Here is a 21,396-nt window from a genome sequence, read left to right on the forward strand (position 1 = left end):
ATGATTTATTATCTCATGTAATTAATATTATCAGGCTGCCCACTATCCTGCCACTTGTCAGCAATTCAGCAGACAGTGGAAATCTGTGCATCCTCCCATAAATTATTTAACGTCTCTAATCTGAAGTTTTCTCCGGGGATTAGATTGGTAGCTTTAAAACTTTAACAGTGGAACATGTTTTATTATGTAAAATTAATGCAAGACTTCAATATTAATGTAGAAGTGGGGTTTTTTTTTAGCATGAATGTATTAGTATCCATTGTAGACACTTCTTTTTAAAGTCATCCATGAGACTTAAAGGACAAAAAATTCTGAGAGCCAGGGTCACAAGGGCCAGTGGCAATCTCATACCTACACACAGCTTATTTCTGTATATTGTCTCAGCACAGTGTCAAGGAAATCCTCACTCACCTAAGTTGCCTTCCCAACTTAGGCATCCATCAAACCAATGTAGATGCTTAACAAAGGAATAGCAGAAATGTTTTATTTTACAGTTAGCCACTGACAGCAATGACCAATTGTTCATATGAATCGTTTATGGTAAATATATTGGTCAGACAAATGGTACTCAAACCTTATGGGAACTGACACCATCAGAAACTCAGAGCCATGGACCACACTGTATCCCCCACCCCGATGTACGTGATGGGGCTCAGTGTACCTGGGCTTTGGTGCACTCACACAGCTTTACACATGCATGTGTACGTCCTAAGTGGACGTCTTTTTTCAAATGACCAGTGCACCACAGCAGCCCTCCTAGCCCATGCTTGCCATGTAAGAAGTTGAATAATATGCACAGATCTAATAAGCGGACTCTAAAAGCTGCAAAAAGTAACACCACAGTACAAGGTAACAGATCACCAGTATTCAGTGTAACCCTTTGACCATAGTTGAGTGTATGTTATTTTTTTAAATCCGTTTTTAAAACTGTAGCTAAAAATTTTCTTAACAGAATTTGAAACCGCTGCAGAGCCCCCAAAGCACCTCACACCCTATGGCTCCGCTGGACTGTGAGATCCCATCTAGTCCTAACACTCCATTAGTGTGAGAAGGGACAGAAGTGTTATCACAGCCAAGCGGGCTGGAATCCTAAAGGGAGATGCATAGAGCCTTCAAGCAAGGCTCACAGGTCCAGCAATGAAAGGCAAAGGGATGGGCAGTGGGTTGGCATGTGGAGGTCCCTTCGGCCTCTCAAATCACCATTTACAGGGCAGTCACCTGATCACAGGGCTGCCCTGTCCCAACAGCAGCTTGTTGGAGTCTTTACTAGGCCAGGCTTACTGCTTCAACAGGTTCATGAGTCCTTGGCCTCCTATCCCATGCAGCATCCTTGGTGGGAGAGGATGTGCTTGGTGCTCACCCTGAGGCAGAGCAGTCCTGTGGTCCAGAGAGCCACCAAATGTCTAGAGCAGCCACAGCTTATGGAGCCATCTCCCCAGAGAGACACCACCAGTAGGCAGGCAGTGTGGTGTCTTCCATGGTAGAAGAGTGTCCTGGGTTTAAACTCTAACTCTGCCACTTTCTCCATGACCTTGCCACATAATATCAAGCTTCCTAGAGCTTTAGTTTCCTTTATAAAATGGGGGTGCCGGGAGGGTTCAGGAGAGCTGTGGTCAGATGTAAGGCATTCAGCCAATGCCTGTACACAGCAAGTGCTCAGTAAGTAGATGTATACATACAGAATATAGAAGTCACCTTTTCATGAGGGCCTACCACATGCAGGCATTGCACCAGGCCCTGCAGCCACACCAGCAAGTTATTAAATTATTCAAATGCATTATATTCTCTAGAAAGTTATAGAAAGAGATGAAAGTATGGGGACCCCAAATAGGTACATTCCTATTTCAGAAGAAGCTCAAAGCCCAACTAAGGGCAGACAGCGAGGTGTCATTAAATGAGCACTGGACTGGAAGTCCAGCCCCACAGGCCTCAGGCAGCACCCACACACTGCGGCAGGCTCGGAGCCTCCATTCTTGCCCACAAGATGAGCACACCAAGCCCTGCCCCCTGCCTCCACGTGGGAGGGGCCCGGGAGTGTCCTGCTGTCAGTCCATCAGGAAGGCATCTCAGCACAGTGGAACATGTGGCCAGGAATTAGGGACGTTAGTACAGAGGCAAAGAGTCAAACTAGTGACACACTGACTAAAGCCCAGGTGGAGGAGGGAGCGGTGAGCAACCACAATTCATCTTCATGAGAGGGAGCGGTGAGCAACCACAATTCATCTTCATGACTATGATATTTTCACCAATGTCCCTCATTGTGCTTCTCAGCCCTGTTGGTGAGGGTGTCTGCCCAGGTGATGCCGGCACCTCCCGACTCTCCCCTGTGTCCCACTTTTGGAGTCATCCTGCCTCTGGCAGCCCTGTTCTTTTCCCTTCATTGTGTCTCCAACTTCTGTGGCAAAGTCTGTGGACTATAATAACTTCAACCCTCGTCAGTTTAATTGTTGCAATTGGCCCTCAGAGAATCCAGGGAATGAGAGTGGCTCTCACTGCCTGGTGATGAGGCCAGCAAGATCTTTCAGCAGCTCCAGCCTGGCACTGCCAGGTTCCACAGACATGGCTGTGCAGAAATGGTGCTAACATGCTTTCCGCGTGAAGGACGGAGGCCTAGATGCCTGGGGCGGTCACCGTGGGTGGAAGATGCTCTTGACAAGCATCTGTATTGGTGCCTGGGTTCCAGGGAGCTGCACCATGCCGCGCTTCCATTGTTCCTTATAGCCTGATGGGGCTGCAAGAGCTTGCCTGCATCTGGATTCCTCTGCCTGGGAGGGATGTACATTTCACCCAAGCCCAGGGGAGGGACCAGCCGCAGGGGCTGGAGACTGCAAGGAGCCTCGAGGTTGGCTGTCTGATTGCAGGCACAGGAGAGCAAGGCGTTTGGAGTCGGAGACCCATGTTCTGGTTCTAGCCCAACTGCCTGGTTGGTTGCCCTTGGGCAAGTTCTGCACACTGAGTGTCAGTTTCCTCTTCAGCACAATGGAGATGCATAGCTGTGTGTGGGCCACAGTGAGCATGGGAGCCAGTGGGCACATCAGGACAAACCTTTGGCAAATGCCTAGCACACAGCACTCCTTGTCCAAGTCAGTCCCTTGCAGAGTGGTGTAAAGCATCACGGATACAATGTGCCTCATCAGTAATACGAAGGAGATGGGGTCACCTCCCAGCTGGACTTGGTATTATTCAGTGTGCTATCTCCATCCATCTTTAAGAGTCTGGCCTTGCCAAGATGCCTAGGGCATCTGGCTGTGTGGAACTCGGGCACCTCTGGGTGGCCAAGTGAGTTTTGTGCTTCCTCCCAAATTCTCCATCAGATTTTGTTTGCTTGCTAAACTCATGAGGAATGCCTGCATTGTGCATGTCACAGGGTTAAGGGCGTCAGTTACAGTCTAGGAGGAAGGAGAGAGCCACACCTGCCAGGGTCCCAGGGGAGCCAGGCCAGCCCCGAGAATACTCCAGAATAGAAACCAGGAGACATGAGCTCAGTGCCAGCTCCTAACCCCTGTCTTCCCTCCCTGGGCCTCAGTGTCCTCTCCTCTAACATGGGGGTCATGGTGTATTTTCCCTGAATCCCATGCAGGGCTGATGGGAGGAGGGGGAGTCAGTGACTCTCCCAGTGTGTCCAGGGGACAGTGCTGATAGAGGTCAAGACCTGGGATGGTCTAGGCTTACAGCCTGCAGCCCTGGTTGCACCTCTGGCTAGGCAGGCCTGAGTCGCCAAGGTAGAAACAAGATGAGGGGGAATTGCAATCTGAATATTGATTCTCCCTCCTCTATCCAGGAAGAGCCCAGGGCAGTGGGTTTGGGTTACAGACTTGTGGTTCAGTCCCATGTCTGGGAGCTCAGGCAGGTCAGCTGTGACCCTGCAGCCTCCATCAGTAAAGTGGAGGTGATTGTGCCCACCTGTGTGAGTTAACACTTCTTTGGCTGCAAATAACAGAAACCAGCCCCAGCCTGTGAGGTGCCTCACAGGATCCTGTGACCGTGTGGACCCTGCAGGCAGAGACGCTGCCAGGCTCTGGGTGTAATGGCCCCAGGGTCTCCAGTGCCGTCACGACCCCCCGCCTGCCTGCCTCTGGACAGCACCTCCTGCTCTCGGGTCCTACACACTGGCTTTCTCTGTTGTGTCCAGTCAAATGGTGGTGAACAGCTGCCAGCAGCTACCAAGTCCACAGTGCACAGCCTAGGACGCTGGGTCCCCTCCATGTCTGTCCCCTGTGATTCTCCCTGTCAGGCAACCACCCTAAACCAATCAACAGTGGCTTGGGACAAAGGCAGTGGGTCCAGGTCGCTTCCCTTGCAGGTGGGGTAAAGTATCGGGGATACAACATGCCTCAGCAGCAGCAGGAGACGAGGTCACCTCCCAGCTGAGGAGGGCAGGAGAGGCCGGCATCTCCACCGGAGCTGAGTATGGCTGCAGCTGAGCAGCCCTCTCCCCTCGCCTACCGGGGCACTTGGGCAAACTGCCTCCCTGCAGTGCGGCCATCCGCCCTTCTGGAATGTGGAGGAACGCCTCTACGCTCCCTCCTGCAGTTCCGCTCTGCTTGTTCCAGAACAGATGATAACAGAGATGGAGCATATGGGCCCCAAAGTCACCCGGCATTCTGGGAAAGTGACACTGTGTTACCCCGGGCGTGGGGGGAGGGGCCCGTCACTCGTGAGCACAGCTTCTCCCTTTGTTCTTTAGAAGGGCACGAGGTCGCCCCTCCTGAGCCTCCTGAGAGGAAGTGTGCACGCTTGGACTTTGGGAAGGATTTCCTCTGTCTAGGCAGCGATTTGGGAAAGCAGCCGTGGGGTGGGCATATATATGGGGAGGAGAACACTTGGAAGCCAAAATCCAGTCCTTCCTGGGCCTCTCCTGCTCAGGCCCCAGACCAAACCTCTGCCATCCACAGGGCCACACCCAGCCTGGCCTCCATGGCCCCTGTGCCCTTAGGGGTCCTGCAGGTGTGTCAGGAGCCTCCCAGAGTGCTATGAGCAGATTATGGGAAGTACCCAGCTGGGCTCCAGGCCTAGCTCCACCCCAGTCTCAGCGGGTCCCTGCCCGGGGTTGAGTGCCTTGGCATCTTCGAAGCCGAGTTTCCTCCTCCTCCTCGCAGCTCTGACAGTGCTCTGTGTGCCTCTGAGATAGACCCACGCAGGGTGTCCCCAGGGCAGGTTTCCCAACCTCGAATGAGAAGGTTGGGGGCGGGCACTGCATCAGCCTAGGATGAGGCGGCCTGAGCATTCTCCTGTCCCCCACAGTTCTGACCTGTGGTCCAGAGGGGCCATGCCGTCCCCTGCTCTACCCAGGCCTGGTCCTTGACAGCCCCTGCAGGCGCTGAGGTTGGGACAGCCAGGGTCCACATCCCTCCTGGCTTTGTGATGAGCTCGTGGCGAGGCCATGCGGCTCTTTAAGCAGCCTCTCTAGGGCTGCAGTCAAGGCTGGGGTGTGCTGGGAAAGCAACCCTGAAAGCCCAGCCTGTGCAGGTGGAGGACAGGCCCAAGAGGGGCTGAGGAAGCTGGAGGGAGGAGAGAGCTGGGGGGAGCGAGGAAGCGGCCGCTGGACAGGGAGGGAGAAGAGCTGGGGGCAGGCACATGGCGCCCTCATCTCCCCCATTCTCTGTCCTCGCTATGGCTCCCCGAGTCTCACCATGCAAGCTGCACAGTTTTGGGTAGGAGAGGAAGCCACTTGGTGTAAGTTCCTGGGCAAGAAGCCACTTGGTGAAGAGGAAGAAAAAGAAGGCTTTTCACTTTTCCTTTCACCTCTGACTGTGGCCTGGTAACCCTGGGGTTGTCCCTGCTTTTTTCTGACCTTCCCTGGGAATTCCCAGGAGGCCCTAAGATTGTGGATGTAAATCTTGGTGCTTCAGGACAGCAGAGAAGAGAACTGGCTAAATAGAATCTGGTCTGCCTGTGTGATAAGTGGGTTAGAACCAGAGGCAGGCCACAGGGCAACAGGGCCGGCCCCTCCAGAGTCCAGCCCCCAATGGAACTTCTCACCAGGAACCCAGAGATCCTGTGCACAGCCCAGCACATTCCTCCCCCTCCCCACTTCCCCTGACATGTTTGCCTTCCCTCCAATTGCAGGTGGTGACTTCTTTTTATAGGAGAGCTGTAGACAAAGGAGAAAGCTAAAAGGGATTGACATAGCCTCTGACGAGATGATTCTTTGGTCTCTGGGCACCAACTGAACCGGAAAGCTGGCAACACAGTGCCAGGCCTCGGCTGACTGGCCGTGCGAGTGATGCCGGGCAGAGGAAGGGCCAGGCAGAGTGTGCAGCGAAGACAGGCCCTCGCCCTTAAGCACCTTCCAGGCTAGTGCGAGCCTCAGGAAGAGGTGGCAGAGTCTGAGATGTGCCAGCCAGCACTCCACACGCTTGGTGCTGACTACCAGTATGTCACTGCTCGTCCCTGGGCCTCAATTATCTAGGCCGTGAAATGGAGCTGATAGCCTCCCTCGTTACCTCACAGGGTTACTGGGGAAAGAGATCAGATCCAGGCTGAGGGCAGGCCCTGGAAAGTACAATGAGCGCGGGAGTCCGAGGACTGCCTGTCACAGCCTCCTCCTCTTCCCCGCAGGGCCACCCGTTCATCGTGCAGTTCAATGATGGAAATGCCGCCGTGGTGTCCATGTGGGTGTGCCGGGCGCTGGAGGAGAGGCGGAGCCAGCAGGGGCCCCCGTGAGGCTGCCGCAGGGCACTGAAAGCCCAGGACCAGTAACCAAGGAGAACAACCCACCCGTCGCCCTTCTCCGTATGCTGCCTGCGCCAGAAGAGCTTTGCTGGGCCCTGGCTTCCCTGCCCTCGCCTTCACCTCTGTCAGCAGGTGGCCTTGCCTGGGGAGCCCCATGTGTGGCCCACCCCACCAGGCCATCCCCATACCTTCTGGTTTGAAGGCGCTGACACTGGCAGAGAGGTAAAGGGTGGGGCATTGAGAATGGAGGCTCCCAGGGTCCCTGCCCACTTCTGTTTTCCTAATGTTTTTCTCTATAAAGGGTCAGGCCCGTCAGCATCACTGATGGGAATAAAAGTATTAATGCTTTGTGACAGCCTCTGCCATAAGAGTTGTGTGGTCCAGGGGGTCTGTGACCCCCCCCAGGGCTGGGGGCAGGTGGGATCTCCACTTCAGCAGGGATGTGTGTGACAGTGCCTGCTGCCTGCCCAGGCACCTGCAAGCCTCCTGCTAGCTCCTCGCAGTTGTGCTGAGGCCCACAGCCCAGCTCCACTGTCAGATGAGAAACAGAAGCACGGAGGCATTGGGATGGGTCCCATGGCAAGGAGTAGGCCCGGATCTCAGGCCCCCGCCATGAGCTCCTTACTGGACTGCCAGACACATCCACCTGACCTGCGTGGCTGAGGAGGGAGTGGGCTGTTCTGAGAGGCCCTTCTCCACCCCAGCCCCACCCCTGCTCCTCACTGCCCTTGACCCCACACCTGCCACCTCTCACCTCTCAGGAAATCCCCTCAGCCACATGCCAGGTAAGCCTGGCTACCCCCATTTTGCAGGTGAGGAGCTGAGGCTCCAAGGGGCTCAGGATTCCACTTGAAGGTCTGAATAGCATCTCAACACGTCCAGAAGCAAATTCCTAATCCCCCACCCCACCCAGACCTCCTCCTACTGCTTTCCTGTGTCAGTAAATGGCATCTCCATCCTCCCAGTGCCCAAGCCATTTGGCACTCCCTAAAATGCCAGGACATGGCTTTGACTCCCTTTTCACACCCACATCCAGTCCTGCTGTCTTTGCCTTCAAAGAATATTGGTTCCATCACCCAAAATTCTCTCTTGACTCCAGCCAGTTGGTCTTCTTGCTGCTCCTTGAACATCCGGGCACATAACCACCCAGGGTCACAGCAGAGACGTCTAGCCATGGAAGGTTCACACTCCCTCCACAGGGTACCGCGTTGCTAGGGAGCCACTGCCCAGCTGGGCTTCCATCTCATGGGTGGGATTGGTGCTATTATAAAGGGTGAGTTTGGAGCCAGGCACAATGGCTCTCGCCTGTAACCCCAACACTTTGGGAGGTCGAGGGGGGAGGATTGCTTCAGCCCGAGTTCAAGACCAGCCTTAGCCAACATAGTGAGACCCTGTCTCTAACAAAACTTAAAAAATTAGCAGGGTGTGGTGGTGCATGCCTGTGGTCCCAGCTACTTGAGAGGCTGAGGTGGGAGGATCTCTTGAGCTCGGGAGGTTGAGGCTAAATGAGCCGTGATGGCACCACCGCACTCCAGCCTGAATGACAGTGAGACCCTGTCTCAAAAATAAATAAAAATAGTGAGCTAGGGATCAATTATTTTGATGGGGTTTTATATGTTACTAGCAGCTAGTATTATGCCAGCTAATGTAGGCCTTTGCATTTGGTACCTGGAGCATGCTTCCCTCATGCATCCACATGGCTCACCTCTATACCCTTCAGGTCTCAGCTCAAATGGCATCTCAGTGAAACCTACTTAACCACTCTAAAATCGCACCCCTCCCGCACCTGCCCTGGGGCCGCCTGTGCCCATTGCTTGCACCATTTTCCTCTACTGCATTCAGAACTGTGTGATACATCACTAATTTTACTTATTTTCTCTTCTGTCTCCTTCCTCTTCTGCCCTTCATTAGAATGGGGTCTCCACAAGGGCAGAAATTCTAGTCTTTTTCACACTGTATCCCCAGTACAAAGAACAAGGCCTCAGCTCTGCACAATAAATGTGTGTGGGTCAAATGGCCAAAATTGTGGAGCTGTGACTCCCAGCCCATGTGCAGTCCAGTGCCCCATGGAAGGGCACCCTATGTGAGGCATCATGTGCTTCCCAGGGCAGAGTCGGCTCATCATCTTTTTAGTAATGCTTTTCAAGGCACAGGCTCCCAGCTTTCTCTGAGCACCTGCCATTTCCCTGGGGTTAGATGGTCACAGAATTGGATGGGACCCCGGCCAGGAAGACCCTGGCCCAGTGCTCAGGGCAGGGAGAACTGCGGGCAGTGCACATGATGGACTTTCTCAGGAAGAGGCGCTCAGAGAGTGGGGAAAGCTTAGGGGCTCCCACACGGGGCTGACTACCTTGGAATGTGAATCAGCCACCACCCAGACTAAAGCGTATCCTTATTTTGAGAAGATTCATCCAGCAAACCTGTCAGCCCCAAATCCCAAGTCAAGGGCGGTAGGAAAAGTGAGCAGGTACCTTGCTGGGCAGTGTGCTTAGGGCTCACTGTATCAATTCGTTTAATCCCCACCATGATCCCAGGAGGTAGATGGTGATACGATTATTCTGCCCGTTTTACAGATGAAGAAACTGAAACACAGAGAGGCCAGATGACTTACCCAAGGTCACCCAACAAGTAGCAAAGCACTGTTTGGGACCCAGAGCCCTGCTCTTAGCCACAGCTCTGATAGTCAACTCCACACACACAGCACACATGTGCACATATGTACACACAGACACATGCCCTGTCCTCTAGCACAGAGGCTCCCAAACTCTGGTTTGCCAAGATAATGTTAGTACCTTTGGGAACGGGCCAAGGATCTCTTTGACCAGCTCCCCAGGGATACAGGTGCAGAGCGCCCCACAACAGCACTGAGAAACACTGCTCCAGACGCATGCTTTGGCCTGGAGACCAACTTTCAGGGTGATCTTGAACAAAGCACGTCTCCTGTCTGAGTCTGTTTCCTCATCTGTCAATGTAGGGGTTGACCTCACGGTGTCCTGGAGCTGCTCCCAGTCCTGATGTCCCAGAGCAGAGTTCTCACCATTTGGGTTCATCCTGTGAGCATCCTTGCCCCCAAATTACATCACCCACATGCATGCACGCACAGAATTTTGTTCACAACTCTAGGGTTTGTGGAGACCCTGGAGCTCACTCACTCATGACCCCCTGTCAAGGGCCCCTACTTTGGGGCAGCCCCCAACTATAAATTCCCCTCTGCCTTGAAGTCGAGAAGATGGGGAGCTGAGTGACCCCTGAGGGGTTCTCCTGCTAACACCCCTCTGGCCGGAGGCAGGTCCCTCTTTGGCCTGTTGAAGTGATTCCTCTAGTCACCGTTGGGGGCCAGAGGCCAAGCTGCCCCTGCCCTCAGAGGTCGCGGGAAGGCTAAGACCTAGAACACTGCAGTGCCTGAGACTGGCCTAGGCAGCATGAGCTCTTTCCCTGCTGGAAAGCCACCCCCGCCCACCCTCACCCCATCCATGTGGCTAATTCCTATTCTTCCTTTCAGGCCCCTCTCAAACAGCACCTCCTCTTTGCTGCCTTTTTTTTTTTTTTTTTTTTTTTTTGAGACAGAGTTTCGCTCTTGTTGTCCAGGCTGGAGTGCAATGGTGCACTCTCAGCTCACAACCTCTGCCTCCCAGGTTCAAGCGATTCTTCTCCCTCAGCCTCCCGAGTAGCTGGGATTACAGGCATGCACCACCATGCCCGGCTAATTTGTGTATTTTTAGTAGAGATGGGGTTTCACCATGTTGGTCAGGCTGGTCTTGAACACCTGACCTCAAGTGATCTGCCTGCCTCAGCCTCCCAAAGTGCTGGGATTACAGTCGTGAGCCACCACGCCTAGCTGGCAGCTTCTTTATTTCCTTCTCTGGATATAGACTGTGAGCCCTTTGAGGGCAGGGATGAGGCTAACTCACCTCTATCCCAGCACCTGGCCCAGGGCCTGCATAGGGAGGGTGCCTGTGGTGTGGGACGGTAGGAGGGAGGGAAGGTAGGGTGCAGAGATGGGGCCCTCAGACCTGAGGCCCTTGGGGCCTGTCACTGTCCTGCTCGAATCTCTTGCTCCAATCCTCAATATCGCCCACTCACTTTCTAACTGGAGCTTCTGAGAGACGAAACCCTCACTGGAGGCAGCCTCAGGCCTCTCAGACCTTCAGGGGAGCCTAGAAGGAAGTGTTTCCAGGACAGGAGGATCCTCACGGGGCCCCAGTTCACAATGACAGGCAGGTGCCTCCTCTGCTTCTAGGTCTCTGGCTTGAAGGCCAGGAGGCCCTCTCACACTCAGCCCATCGTCCTTGCTTCTGTCTTTGGTTTTCACATGTGGGGAATGCAGGATACAGAATCCCAGGGCTTTGGAGATGTTCCAACAGGTCCACTGGGGCAGAGGAAGGAGAGGTGGAACCCTCTTCTCCAGATGTGGCGGGGACCTTGTGGTCCAAAGTAGTGTGACCCAGAGCCCCTACCCAAGGCCCAGCCCAGTTAGGGGGTTGGTCAGGCCAGTGAGGTGAAATGGATGGTACAGCCTCACTGAGGGAAGCTGCGGGTGCCCTGCCTGAACAGACCTGCATCTTTGGGGAGGCATATGCTTCCAGGTGTCTGCACACTCAGGCCAGTGGAACCTCCAGGTGAAGCCTCGGGATGATGCTGGGTCTGCAGGCTGGCAGCCCCTGGGGCCCCACAGGGTGGTTCAGAAGGGACTGGACAGCGGCTTCCACATGGGATGGAGCCCAGAGAGGGCCATGATGCCACCTCAAAGATACCTTCTGTCCCCCTGACTGCTGCCCAAACTCCCCCTTGGAGCTTCAGCCTTTAGCTAAGTCTGGCCCCTATTAGAATGGGAGCCTGGCCGGGCACTGTGGCTCTCATCTGTAATCCCAGCACTTCGGGAGGCTGGGGCAGGCAGATCACTTGAGCTCAGGAGTTTGAGGCCAGCCTGGGCAACATGGCAAAACCCTGTCTCTACAAAAATTAGCCAGGCGTGGTGGCACATGCCTGTAGTCCCAGCTACTCAGGAGGCTGGGGTGGGAGGATCACCTGAGCCTGGGAGGGGGAGGGTGCAGTGAGCTGTGATCGCGCCACTGCAATGCAGCATGGGCGACAGAGTGAGACCCTGTCTCAAAAAAAAAAAAAAGGAAAACCAGAATGGGAACCGTGTTCTCAGTCACAGAAATGTCCATGAGAAAGAGGGGCATAGAGGGAGGATGGGGGGAGGGAAAGACGGCCCCAAGTCCCAGGGTGAGGGAGGGAGGTAGTGCCCAGCAGGTGGGCAGAAGGGCGTGGAGAGGGGAGCTGCACCAATGGCTCACAGCAGCCCAACTCCATTCCTGGGGCCAGGTGGACCCCCAGGACTGCACCTGGACCGGGTCCCAGCTCCTACTTTGGGGGATCGGGTGTTTTCACTTCATGAGGCCGGAGGAAGCAGTTCAATCAAAGCGCAGGTGAGAGGCCAAAGGAGGAGGCTGAGGCTGGCATCAGCTCCAAGGTGCTGTGGCAAAGGCAATAGGCGTGGTGATGTGGGGTCAGGAATAGGGAGGAGGAGCAAAGAGGTCTGCAGGGGGAGCCAGGCCAGGGGAAGCAGTAAACCGCTCAGGATGTCTGCCCTGAGCCTGGTCCTTGGTGGGTGCTGGCTGCTCATATAGGAAGTGGGACGAGGTCAGTGGCTTCCATGGCAGAGCAAGGCTGCCGTGGCGCTTGCCGGCTTTGTCATGACTCCTTTCCGCCTTGGCAGAAATCACATCCTCGACCCACCAGAGATGCTCTTCAACTAGTGGGCAGGCAGGGCGGGCTGTAGCTGGCAGTGGGTGGAGCCCCTGAGACAGCCTGGGCTGGCACGAGCCACAGGAGTGGATTATTATGCGGGGCAGGGAGGCAGCAGAGCCCAGACCTCATAATGACAAATTTTCTGCTGAACAACCACAAATATTCGCTGTGACTTTGGACAGAGTCTGAAAAAGACTTTGTTTCCTCCCTTGGCGGTATCATTTGTCTTGTTTTGAAGCCACGAGATTGCAGGCGCGAACTTATAGACTCAAGTTTGTCTTAATTGCTGTGGTGTCACCACCTCTCTGGCAGATAACAGCACAATGAACGAGTCGATGGGGCTGAGCCCTCCAGGTCCTTCTTCTAAAGTGAGACAAATGTCCCTCCTATAAGCCCAACAGTCCGTCGGCAGCTCTGTCATTTATTTATCTCCCTAACAGTTTGCATTAACTTGCAAGGGATAAAAAGTCTCTCCTGCCTGCAGACTTAGTTAAAAGCATCCAGTCAAACTGTGCTGCTGGTCCTTCCCAGGAATTTGCTCTTTTTATCTTTTCGTCCCGCTTTGGGGAAGAGGGGTTGTAGGGAGAGCAACAGGGCAAACACTGGGAGCAATAATGAGGGCAGAAGTATGGGAATAAAGTTTTGAGATAGAAAAGAAATCCTATTTGTCTTGTAATATGAGTTGCACGTGGCAAACTGCCTTCACACTGGTCTCATTGGTCTCCCAGCTCCCCTGCAAGGGCAGCAGGCAGCAGGGTCATCCCCACCTCTCTGTCTTCCAGTCCCTGTTCCCATCACAGGGGGTGACGCTCTGCTGCCTGAATGTCCAGAGCCCTCTCTGCCTCTGAGCCTCTGAGCCATAGCATAGGCTGTTCCCTCAGCCTGGGACACCTTCCTCCTGTCCTCTGCCTCCTGCCTAATTTCTGTTCATCCTCCAAGATTCAGCTGAAATGCAATTCCTATGGGGAGGCCTTTTCCAATACCCAACCTGATCTGGCCCACCCACAGGAGCCCAGCCCACAGGCTACTGTCTCCCTGGAGCTCCTCTGTCGCTGCCTGACTTCTCTATATTGTCCTTCTGTGTTTTCTTACATCATCTATCTGCCTCACCTCAGTGAGAGCCCCAGGAAGGCAGGAGCTGGCTCAGGGCCTGGCATTCAGGAGACGCTCGAGAAACAGTGGTTAAATAAATGAAGGGGAAGGCAGGGTGGGAGGGGCTTCAGGAAACTTCAGGGACCTGCCCCTGCCTGCCTCCAGCCATCTAGGTACAAGTTATTTACTTACTTATTTGTTTGAGATGGGGCCTCACTCTGTCACACATGCTGAGTGCAGTGGCGCGATCTCGGCTCACTGCAGCCTCAGCCTCCTGAGCTCAAGTGATCTTTCCCCTTCAGCCTCCCAAGTAGCTGGGACTACAGGCATGCACCACCATGCATGGCTTATTTTTAAAGTTTTTGTAGAGATGAGGGCTCACTGTGTTGTCCAGGTTGGTCTCAAACCCCTGGCCTCAAGCAATCCTCTCACTTGAGCCTCTCAAAGTGCTGGAATTACAGGCGTGAGCCATTGCACCCAGCTGGGAAGAAGATGTTTATAAAAACATCTGATGAGATTGTGGCTGCTCTTTCACTTTCTATTACTCTGTATTTTTCAAATGTAACTCAGTAAACATATATTATTTTGTAATAATAATAATTTGTTTTAGAAAATGTTAAATCTCTTGGTAAGAGTCCCAGCAAGGCAGTGGGAGAGGCGGGATTCAATGCAAGTCTCCTAATACCCAAATGGAACCCCTCTTTTCTACCCCACGGCCTCCTCGGTCCTTTTTGGCAATCCTGTGGGGGAGGCAGAAGAGTGTAGCTATGAAGGCTGGGTGCGGTGGCTCACGCTTGTAATGCCAGCACTTTGGGAGGCCAAGGCAGGCGGATCACCTGAGGTCGGGAGTTCGAGACCAGCCTGACCAACATGGAGAAACCCTGTCTCTACTAAAAATACAAAATTAGCCAGGCGTGGTGGTTTATGCCTGTAATCCCAGCTGCTCGGGAGGCTGAGGCAGGAGAATCACTCAAACCTGGGAGGCAGAGGTTGTGGTGAGCCAAGATCATGCCATTGCATTCCAGCCTGGGCAACAAGAGTGAAACTCTGTCTCAAAAAAAAAAAAAAAAGAGGAAAAAAAAAAAAAAAGAATGTAGCTATGAAGGGCATGGGCTTGGAGTTACACAGACCTGGGTTCAAGTCTTGGGTCCTCCATTGACTCACTGTGTGACCCTAGGCAAGATGCCTAACCTCTCTGAGCCTCAGTTTCCTCAGTGGCAGAGTGGGGTAATTATAGTAGTGGATGTTGTCGATGTCATTATTAAATCATCCCTGCTACTGACCGTGCTAAGCACAAAACACTTCTAAAGGGCTGGTTTCTGGCCCCTTCCTCCCACCAGGCACTGCTGCCCCACATACACACAGACCCGCATACAACCACTGAAGTCCTAGTGACTCCCCACTTCTTAAATATTCCTTCCTCAGGAGAAATGGGGCCTCCTTCGTCTGTGATGCAGTGGCAGCTCACGGTGATGCTCGGGGACCAACATTCTCCAGCAAATATTGTTGAGGCTTCTACCCTTCCTCCTCCCCCACCCAGTGGTGATTCACTTCGCCCTCTGCATTTTGATGCATGAGATTCATGGGGCATGTGCCACTGCTGCACACCAGCCTGGGTGGAGTGACTGCGAGGAGGTGTTCTGTCCCCCTTACTGGAGTGAGAGTCCTAGGAGAACACAGCCTGCATCTTACAGGGAGGCAGCTGTTGCTGAAGAAACAACTTGCACTTCAGGCAGGTCTGGATTTGAGTCTTAGGGCTACTACTTCCTGGCTGTGTGGCTTTGGGCAAATCACTTCACCTCTCTGAACCTCAGCTTTCTCAGCTGTGAAATGGGTATGTTGGCATCATAAGATTCTTAGGAAAACAAAATGAGATGAGAGATGCCAAGAGTGCAGCACAGTGTCTGGTGCACAGTGGGGACCCAAGTTCCTTAGCTGGTGTCAATAGAAATAGAAAAGTGGCCTCCTCCTACACCACTGCCACCCCCAGCCCTAATCCTGTCCCTCTCCAACCCTATACCCTGCTTTATTTCTTTTTCACAGCAATTGTCACCATTTGGAATTATAGTAATCTTTCTTGTCCATCTCCCTGCTGGAGTGTAAACTCTAGAGAGCAGGAACTAGCTTGCCTTAATCCCCTACTGTGTCCTCAGCTCCTGACACACAAGAGGTACTGAGTAAGTATTTGATGAATTCATGGTGTCTCTAGCACCTATGCTGGGCCTTGCTGAGGTTTCAGAGAAGTCCTGGGGAGTCTCCCTGCCCCAGTGGGGGCCGTCTGCTTGTTCACTAAAAATCCCAGCAAAGCTGGTACCATCACTCCTGGGGGAGGGAGGATACTCATTTCTCCAGACCAGAAAAACCAGCAAGGGGTCAAGACAATTTAAAGGAGAGAGAATAATCTTTCAGCAAATAGTGCTAAGGCAACTGGATGTCCACATGCAAAAGAATGAATTTGGATCCCTACCTCACATCATACACAAATGTTAGCTCCAAATAGATGTGTTAATCATAGACTAAAAGTAAAGAGCTAAAACTATAAAAATTCTTAGAGGAAAATATAGAAGTAACTCTCACAGCACAGCCTTCTTAGATATGAAGCCAAAGCACAAGCAGCCAAAAAAGAAACACAATAAATTGGATGCCATGAAACTTAAAAATGTGTGTGCTTCAAAGGACATCACTAAGAAAATACTATGAGTAAAAAGACAACTCCTAGAATGGGAGAAGTTACTTTCAAATCATGCATCTGATAAGGGACTTATACTAGAATATATAAAGAACGCTTACAACTCAATAATAAAATTACAAATAACCCAGTTGAAAAAATAGGGAAATGATATTAATAGACATTTCTCAGCGAATGACTAATAAGCACATAAAAGATGTTTAACATCATTTTATCAGGGAAATACAAATCAAAACCACAATAAAGTACTATTTCATACCCACCAGGATGGCTATAATAAGAAAGACAAATAATAACAAGTGTTTTTGAGAATGTGGAAAGATCAGAACCCTCATCCATTGCTGATGTGAATGTAAAATGGTGCTATTCTTTAGAAAAGTAATCTGGCATTTCTTTACAAGGTTAACTATAGAGTTGTGGTATCACCCAGCAATTCCACACTTCAGTATATACCCAAGAGAAATTAAAATATGCGACCACACAAAAATTTGTGCATGAATGCTTATAGCAGCATCATTCATAATCGCCAAAAAGAGGGAAGAACCCAAATATCTATTGATGGATGAATGGATAAACAACGTGGTATATCCATATGATGGAATAGTATTTGGCAATAAAAAGGAATGAAGTACCAATACATGCTACAACATGGGTGAACCCTGAAAACATTACACCAAGTGAAAGAAGCCAGTCACAAAAGACCAATATTATATTATTCCATTTATAAGAAATGTCCACAGGAAGCAAATCTGTAGAACAGAAAGTAGACTGGTAGCTGCCTAGGGCTGGAGGGAAGTAGGGAAATGAGGGGTGATAACTAATAAGTACAGAGTTTCTCTTTGGAGTGCTGGAAATATTCGAGCATTGATGGGGTGATGGTTGCACAACTCTGTGAATTACAAAAGAAAATCATTGAGTTGTAGACCATAAGTGGATGGAGTATATGGTATGTGCATGATATCTCAACTCAGGTTCCCTTGGGGTCGGTGGAGTCGGGGAGACTGTGGGGAATTGTGTGACATGCCCAGAATTCAAGTCCTTCCTCTGACTGATGTGGCATCCTATGGTTTTCCCACACCCCAGAACCTGGCCTCAGAAATGCCTCAAACTGTCCCAGCAAGAAGACCAGACTCCACCAATGTTTAGGCAGCCATCTTGAAGTGATTGGAGGCTGTCAGGGAAGGAGCAGCTCACATGTGCTGAGTGCCTACTCTGCCATGTGATTTGTGCAGGGCTGGGACTAGAGGGAGGACTTACGGGACCCCCGAGACTGAATGACTTCTTAAGTTTTTCACCCAAGATACCTTACTCTAGTTCCAGCCCTGGCTGTGTTCCATATTCCCAGCACCTTAGTTCATCATTGTGACATGAGGCCAGGCGCCATGGCTCATGCCTGTAATCCCAGCACTTTGAGAGGCCAAGTTGGGCGGATTGCTTGAGGCCAGGAGTTCGAGAACAGCCTGGCCAACATAGTGAAACTCCATCTCTACTAAAAATACAAAAATCAGCTCAGCATGGTGGAGGGCTCCTGTAATCCCAGCTACTTGGAAGGCTTGAGACAGGAAAATTGCTTGAACACAGGAGACAGAGGTTGCAGTGAGCCAGGATCATACCACTGCACTCCAGCCTGGGTGACAGAGTGAGTGAGATTCCATTTCAAAAAATAAAAATAAAAATTATGACATCCCCGTGTCCCTGTGAAGCCCATATGAATACGTTACAGTTGTGGGTTTGGAGACTCAAACAGTGCAAGTCTTGCTGGCTCCACAGCCTATTTTCTTTCCAGCCCTTTCTCCATGATGCTGATGGAGGAACCCCTGGGGAATCCCCTTGCAACCAGGGAAAGCTTGGCAAGCCTGCCAGCAGCTCCCCACCTCCCAAGAACAAGTGTTTTGGAGGTCTCTGCCTGGATGACTTTGAGTCTGTGTGGAGAGTGGGAATCCCAAGACCTAAACATCACTGGGGAGCAGAGAACCTTCTCTTGAAGAACCACATTGGCCACTAGACCCCAACAGGACCAATAACTGTGGCCAGCAAGTCAAGTGGGACCTGGTCTGGGGCTCACAACCCTCATTCTCAAATGCTCATTTCATTTGCCAAACATGCTGAGTACCTACTAAGTGCCAGGCCCTGGGTATGCAACTGCAGACACAACATTCCCGTGGGAGAGACAGAAACACAAAAAAGTGACCGGGAAATATTAACCCATGAACAATCCAGTGATGAAAATAAAACAGCCATGGACAGAGGGGGATGAGGGCTGGCATGAAGGCAAGCTTAGAGGAGGCTCAGGAGGGGTGTATGCAGGGAGGGAGGTAAGGCAGCCTGCTCTGTGGGGTGGAAGCCTCCGGTGACACTGAGTTTTCTCACTGTGTTTCCATGGGTTCATTGGAAACTTCTAAGTGTCCACACAGTCTCCCCCATGCTGAGAGAACCTTGGAAAGAGGCTGTGGCTAAGCTGAAGCTGATAGGAGGGGAGCCCCTCACCCCTGGGACCAGCCAGGATGCAGGCAGGGACCCAAGCTTGAGATTCGGGAGAGAAGGATACTCATGGGAAAACCTGGGGCCAGCTGGAGATGCTCAGCCACCCTCTTTTACTTTAAAAGATTTTTTTTCTACAGGCAGGCAGGGTCTCCTTCTCTTGCCTAGGCTGGAGTGCAGTGGTGCAATCATAGCTCACTGCAGCCTCCCTCTCCTGGGCTCAAGTGATCCTCCTGCCTCAGTCTCCCAAGTAGCTGGGGCCACAGCTGAGCACCACCATGCCCCAGCTCACTCTCTCTTTCTCTCTCTCTCTCTCTCTCTCTCTCTCTCTCTCTCTCTCTATATATATATATATATATATATATATATATATATATATATAATTTTTTTTTTTTGGTAGAGATGGGATCTATGTTGCCCCAGCTCTTCTTTTCCTAATACCTCTGCTCAGGCCTGGGAGGCTTCTCTGTCTGGTTGGAGCAAAGAAGGCTGGTCCAGGGTTCCCTCCTTAGTGTCTGCCAGCCTAACTTGCATCCCCAGGTGCAAGAGAGCCTCAGGAGGGCAGAGCCCGGCCCCAAGACCTTCAAACCATTCCCAAGGCCTCCTGGCTCTCCCTCTCCCCAGAAGCTTAAGCGTCCTAACCTAAGTAGGGCCACCAAGCTCTACCCATCTTCAGGACTCTAGAAGAGAGGTGTTCATGAGCCCCTGGACTCTGGATCAATCCTTCACTCGCCTTCACTCCTGCAAAGTGGGGGTCCATGTGCCCATCCTACAGATGCAGATATGCAGGCCCAGGCAAAGTCCATGGCCCTTCCTGGAGTCAGCAGCGGAACCGGGTCTGGGCCCACCAGGACCGCAATTGTTCTCCCTCCTTTTGATGTTCCCGAGAACAGGGAGTCCCCTGCCGTGAGGAGCGCTGGTCTCACCTATGATCCCAAAGAGCCTGGTCCAGGCAGCGGAAACCCAGAGGGTACGGCCTCCCACCAAATCCGGACCCTCTCCAGCCTCAGTCTCTGGTCCGCAACAGGAGTGAGGTGGGCCCGGAGCTCTGAGCACCTTCTCACCGGCTCCAAGGCCCCCGCCTTCTCCTCACTTTTGGTCTCGGGTTGGGGCCCGGCAGGCCCCGCCCAGCCTCCTTCACTTCCTTGGGCCAGGGCCGCCGCCGCGCCGGGCTCTGCCCTATGTGGCCGTTGGATTAATATCCAGATATTAAGTAAACACTAAATTAGCAAAACTACAAGAAAATTTTACAGCCCTTTGCATTTGGCAATCATTGAGTGTTAATTAGAAATTCATTACAATTAAAACCCTGCCTAAACAGGGCCTGCGCGCCTTAATTACATCTGATTTTTAATTCAGAATACGTGTTTACACAGTAAGCGCTACGTACCCCGTGATTATCCCCAATCCTCTTTATACTGTACTAATTATGTAAATTAAACCTAATTAACTGACGAAAACTGCCGTTAATTCAACTAGTAAAAGATATGTGCTTGCGGAGGAGGCGCGTCCGCGCAGCCTCAGCCCAAGCCGGAGCCCAAATGGACGCCAAACCCGGGGCACGGAGGCAGCGCGGGCTCGGCCAGTGGGAGGAGAAGCGCGCAAGGCGCAGCTCGCATCCAGAGTCCGGCTTTCCGACCCCTGGTGCCACCGGGAAGCGGATAAAAGAGAGAGAATCTTCAATAATGGGGGTCAGGAAGGCCAAGGGCAGCGACGCCTGCCCGCTCTGGACAGGGCCTCAGGACCCAGAGCCCCCACTGAGGAAGAGGAGTCCCGCCCATCCCTTCGGAGCCTGGGTTGCGGTCCCAGCTCTGCCACTCACTGCCTGCCTGAACCTGAGCAAGTGCCCTGGCTGTGCCAGGCCTTCCTCCTCTACATCGTCTAATGAGGGCGATACTGAAACGCAGCACTGCGCCCTCCTTACCGTCCCTTCTTCAAGCTAGGCTCTCTCTGCAGCGTGCCAAGCACCACTTTTTGAGTCTAGGAGATCAGCTTGCGTCCCTTGTGGGCTGAGGGCCTTGGCTAGGGAGAAGGGCAGGGGTTGGCTTCCACTGCCGGATCCTCAGTTTCCTGCCTGTAAAATGGGAATAAGTGGTTCCTATCTATTCCCAGGGCCCTTGTTGAGAATCGGCTCTGCAATCGGTAAAGTGCGGTCCGCGGTGATATTAACCCGCCGGACGCCGGCCCATAGTAGAGCCCCAGCTCCTACCCCCACGACCTGCTCCCCGGTGCCCAGCCCTGAGCAGCGGGGCTTCCCCAGCCTCTGTCCACGCGCCTTTCTCCAGCTCAGACCAGGGACAGGAGCTGGGTGGGTCTCCTGGCACTGGCCAGAGCGCGGGGAGCTGTCCGTAGCTTGGTGCTGAACGGGGACGCAGAGTCGACGCTGCACACCCCCTGGTGCGGGGCGGTACCCTTTGTCTAAGAGGTCCTGGGGGCCCCCCGCGGCCGGGCTGCTGGAAACGGAGGCGTCTTTGGCCCTCGCTGTACAACAGAGGCAGGACAGGCAGGTCCTGCTCAGGGGGACCCAGCCCATCCTCTCTTTCCTCCCACCCCCCGGCACCCTGGGGGCGTCCTGGCTCCAGGATCGTTGTCACCACCAGGCCGAATTCTGAGATGCCTTTTAAAAAATCATTAGGAGGCTAAGAATAATTACCGAACGAGATTGTAATTATGGGGTGGGGGAGCCTGGGCCGAGGGAGAGGGAA

At 52.7% G+C, this 21,396-nt stretch overlaps 1 protein-coding gene across 3 annotated transcripts in view, besides 3 other annotated features; it reads left to right on the top strand.

The window, feature by feature from the left end:
• MAP2K5 (mitogen-activated protein kinase kinase 5) overlaps nucleotides 1-7,030 on the top strand; it is a 264,412-nt gene extending 257,382 nt beyond the window's left edge. For all 3 annotated transcript variants that reach the window (NM_145160.3, NM_002757.4, NM_001206804.2), the window contains one exon: nucleotides 6,562-7,030. In NM_145160.3, coding sequence (NP_660143.1) covers nucleotides 6,562-6,666 — 105 coding nt within the window. In that variant the 3' untranslated portion in view covers nucleotides 6,667-7,030. The remainder of the gene's footprint in view (nucleotides 1-6,561) is intronic.
• Nucleotides 3,700-4,562: an enhancer, noted in NCBI's record as "OCT4-NANOG-H3K4me1 hESC enhancer chr15:68096122-68096984 (GRCh37/hg19 assembly coordinates)". NCBI's record gives its function as "activates a minimal SCP1, AML or CMV promoter by ChIP-STARR-seq in naive and primed H9 embryonic stem cells {active_cell/tissue: H9 hESC(naive and primed)}" and the evidence as "EXISTENCE:reporter gene assay evidence [ECO:0000049][PMID:30033119]".
• Nucleotides 4,563-5,423: an enhancer, noted in NCBI's record as "OCT4-NANOG-H3K27ac-H3K4me1 hESC enhancer chr15:68096985-68097845 (GRCh37/hg19 assembly coordinates)". NCBI's record gives its function as "activates a minimal SCP1, AML or CMV promoter by ChIP-STARR-seq in naive H9 embryonic stem cells {active_cell/tissue: H9 hESC(naive)}" and the evidence as "EXISTENCE:reporter gene assay evidence [ECO:0000049][PMID:30033119]".
• Nucleotides 19,774-20,372: an enhancer, noted in NCBI's record as "H3K4me1 hESC enhancer chr15:68112196-68112794 (GRCh37/hg19 assembly coordinates)". NCBI's record gives its function as "activates a minimal SCP1, AML or CMV promoter by ChIP-STARR-seq in naive H9 embryonic stem cells {active_cell/tissue: H9 hESC(naive)}" and the evidence as "EXISTENCE:reporter gene assay evidence [ECO:0000049][PMID:30033119]".

Source organism: Homo sapiens, chromosome 15 (assembly GCF_000001405.40).
Source record: "Homo sapiens chromosome 15, GRCh38.p14 Primary Assembly".
Classification (NCBI taxonomy): domain Eukaryota; kingdom Metazoa; phylum Chordata; class Mammalia; order Primates; family Hominidae; genus Homo; species Homo sapiens.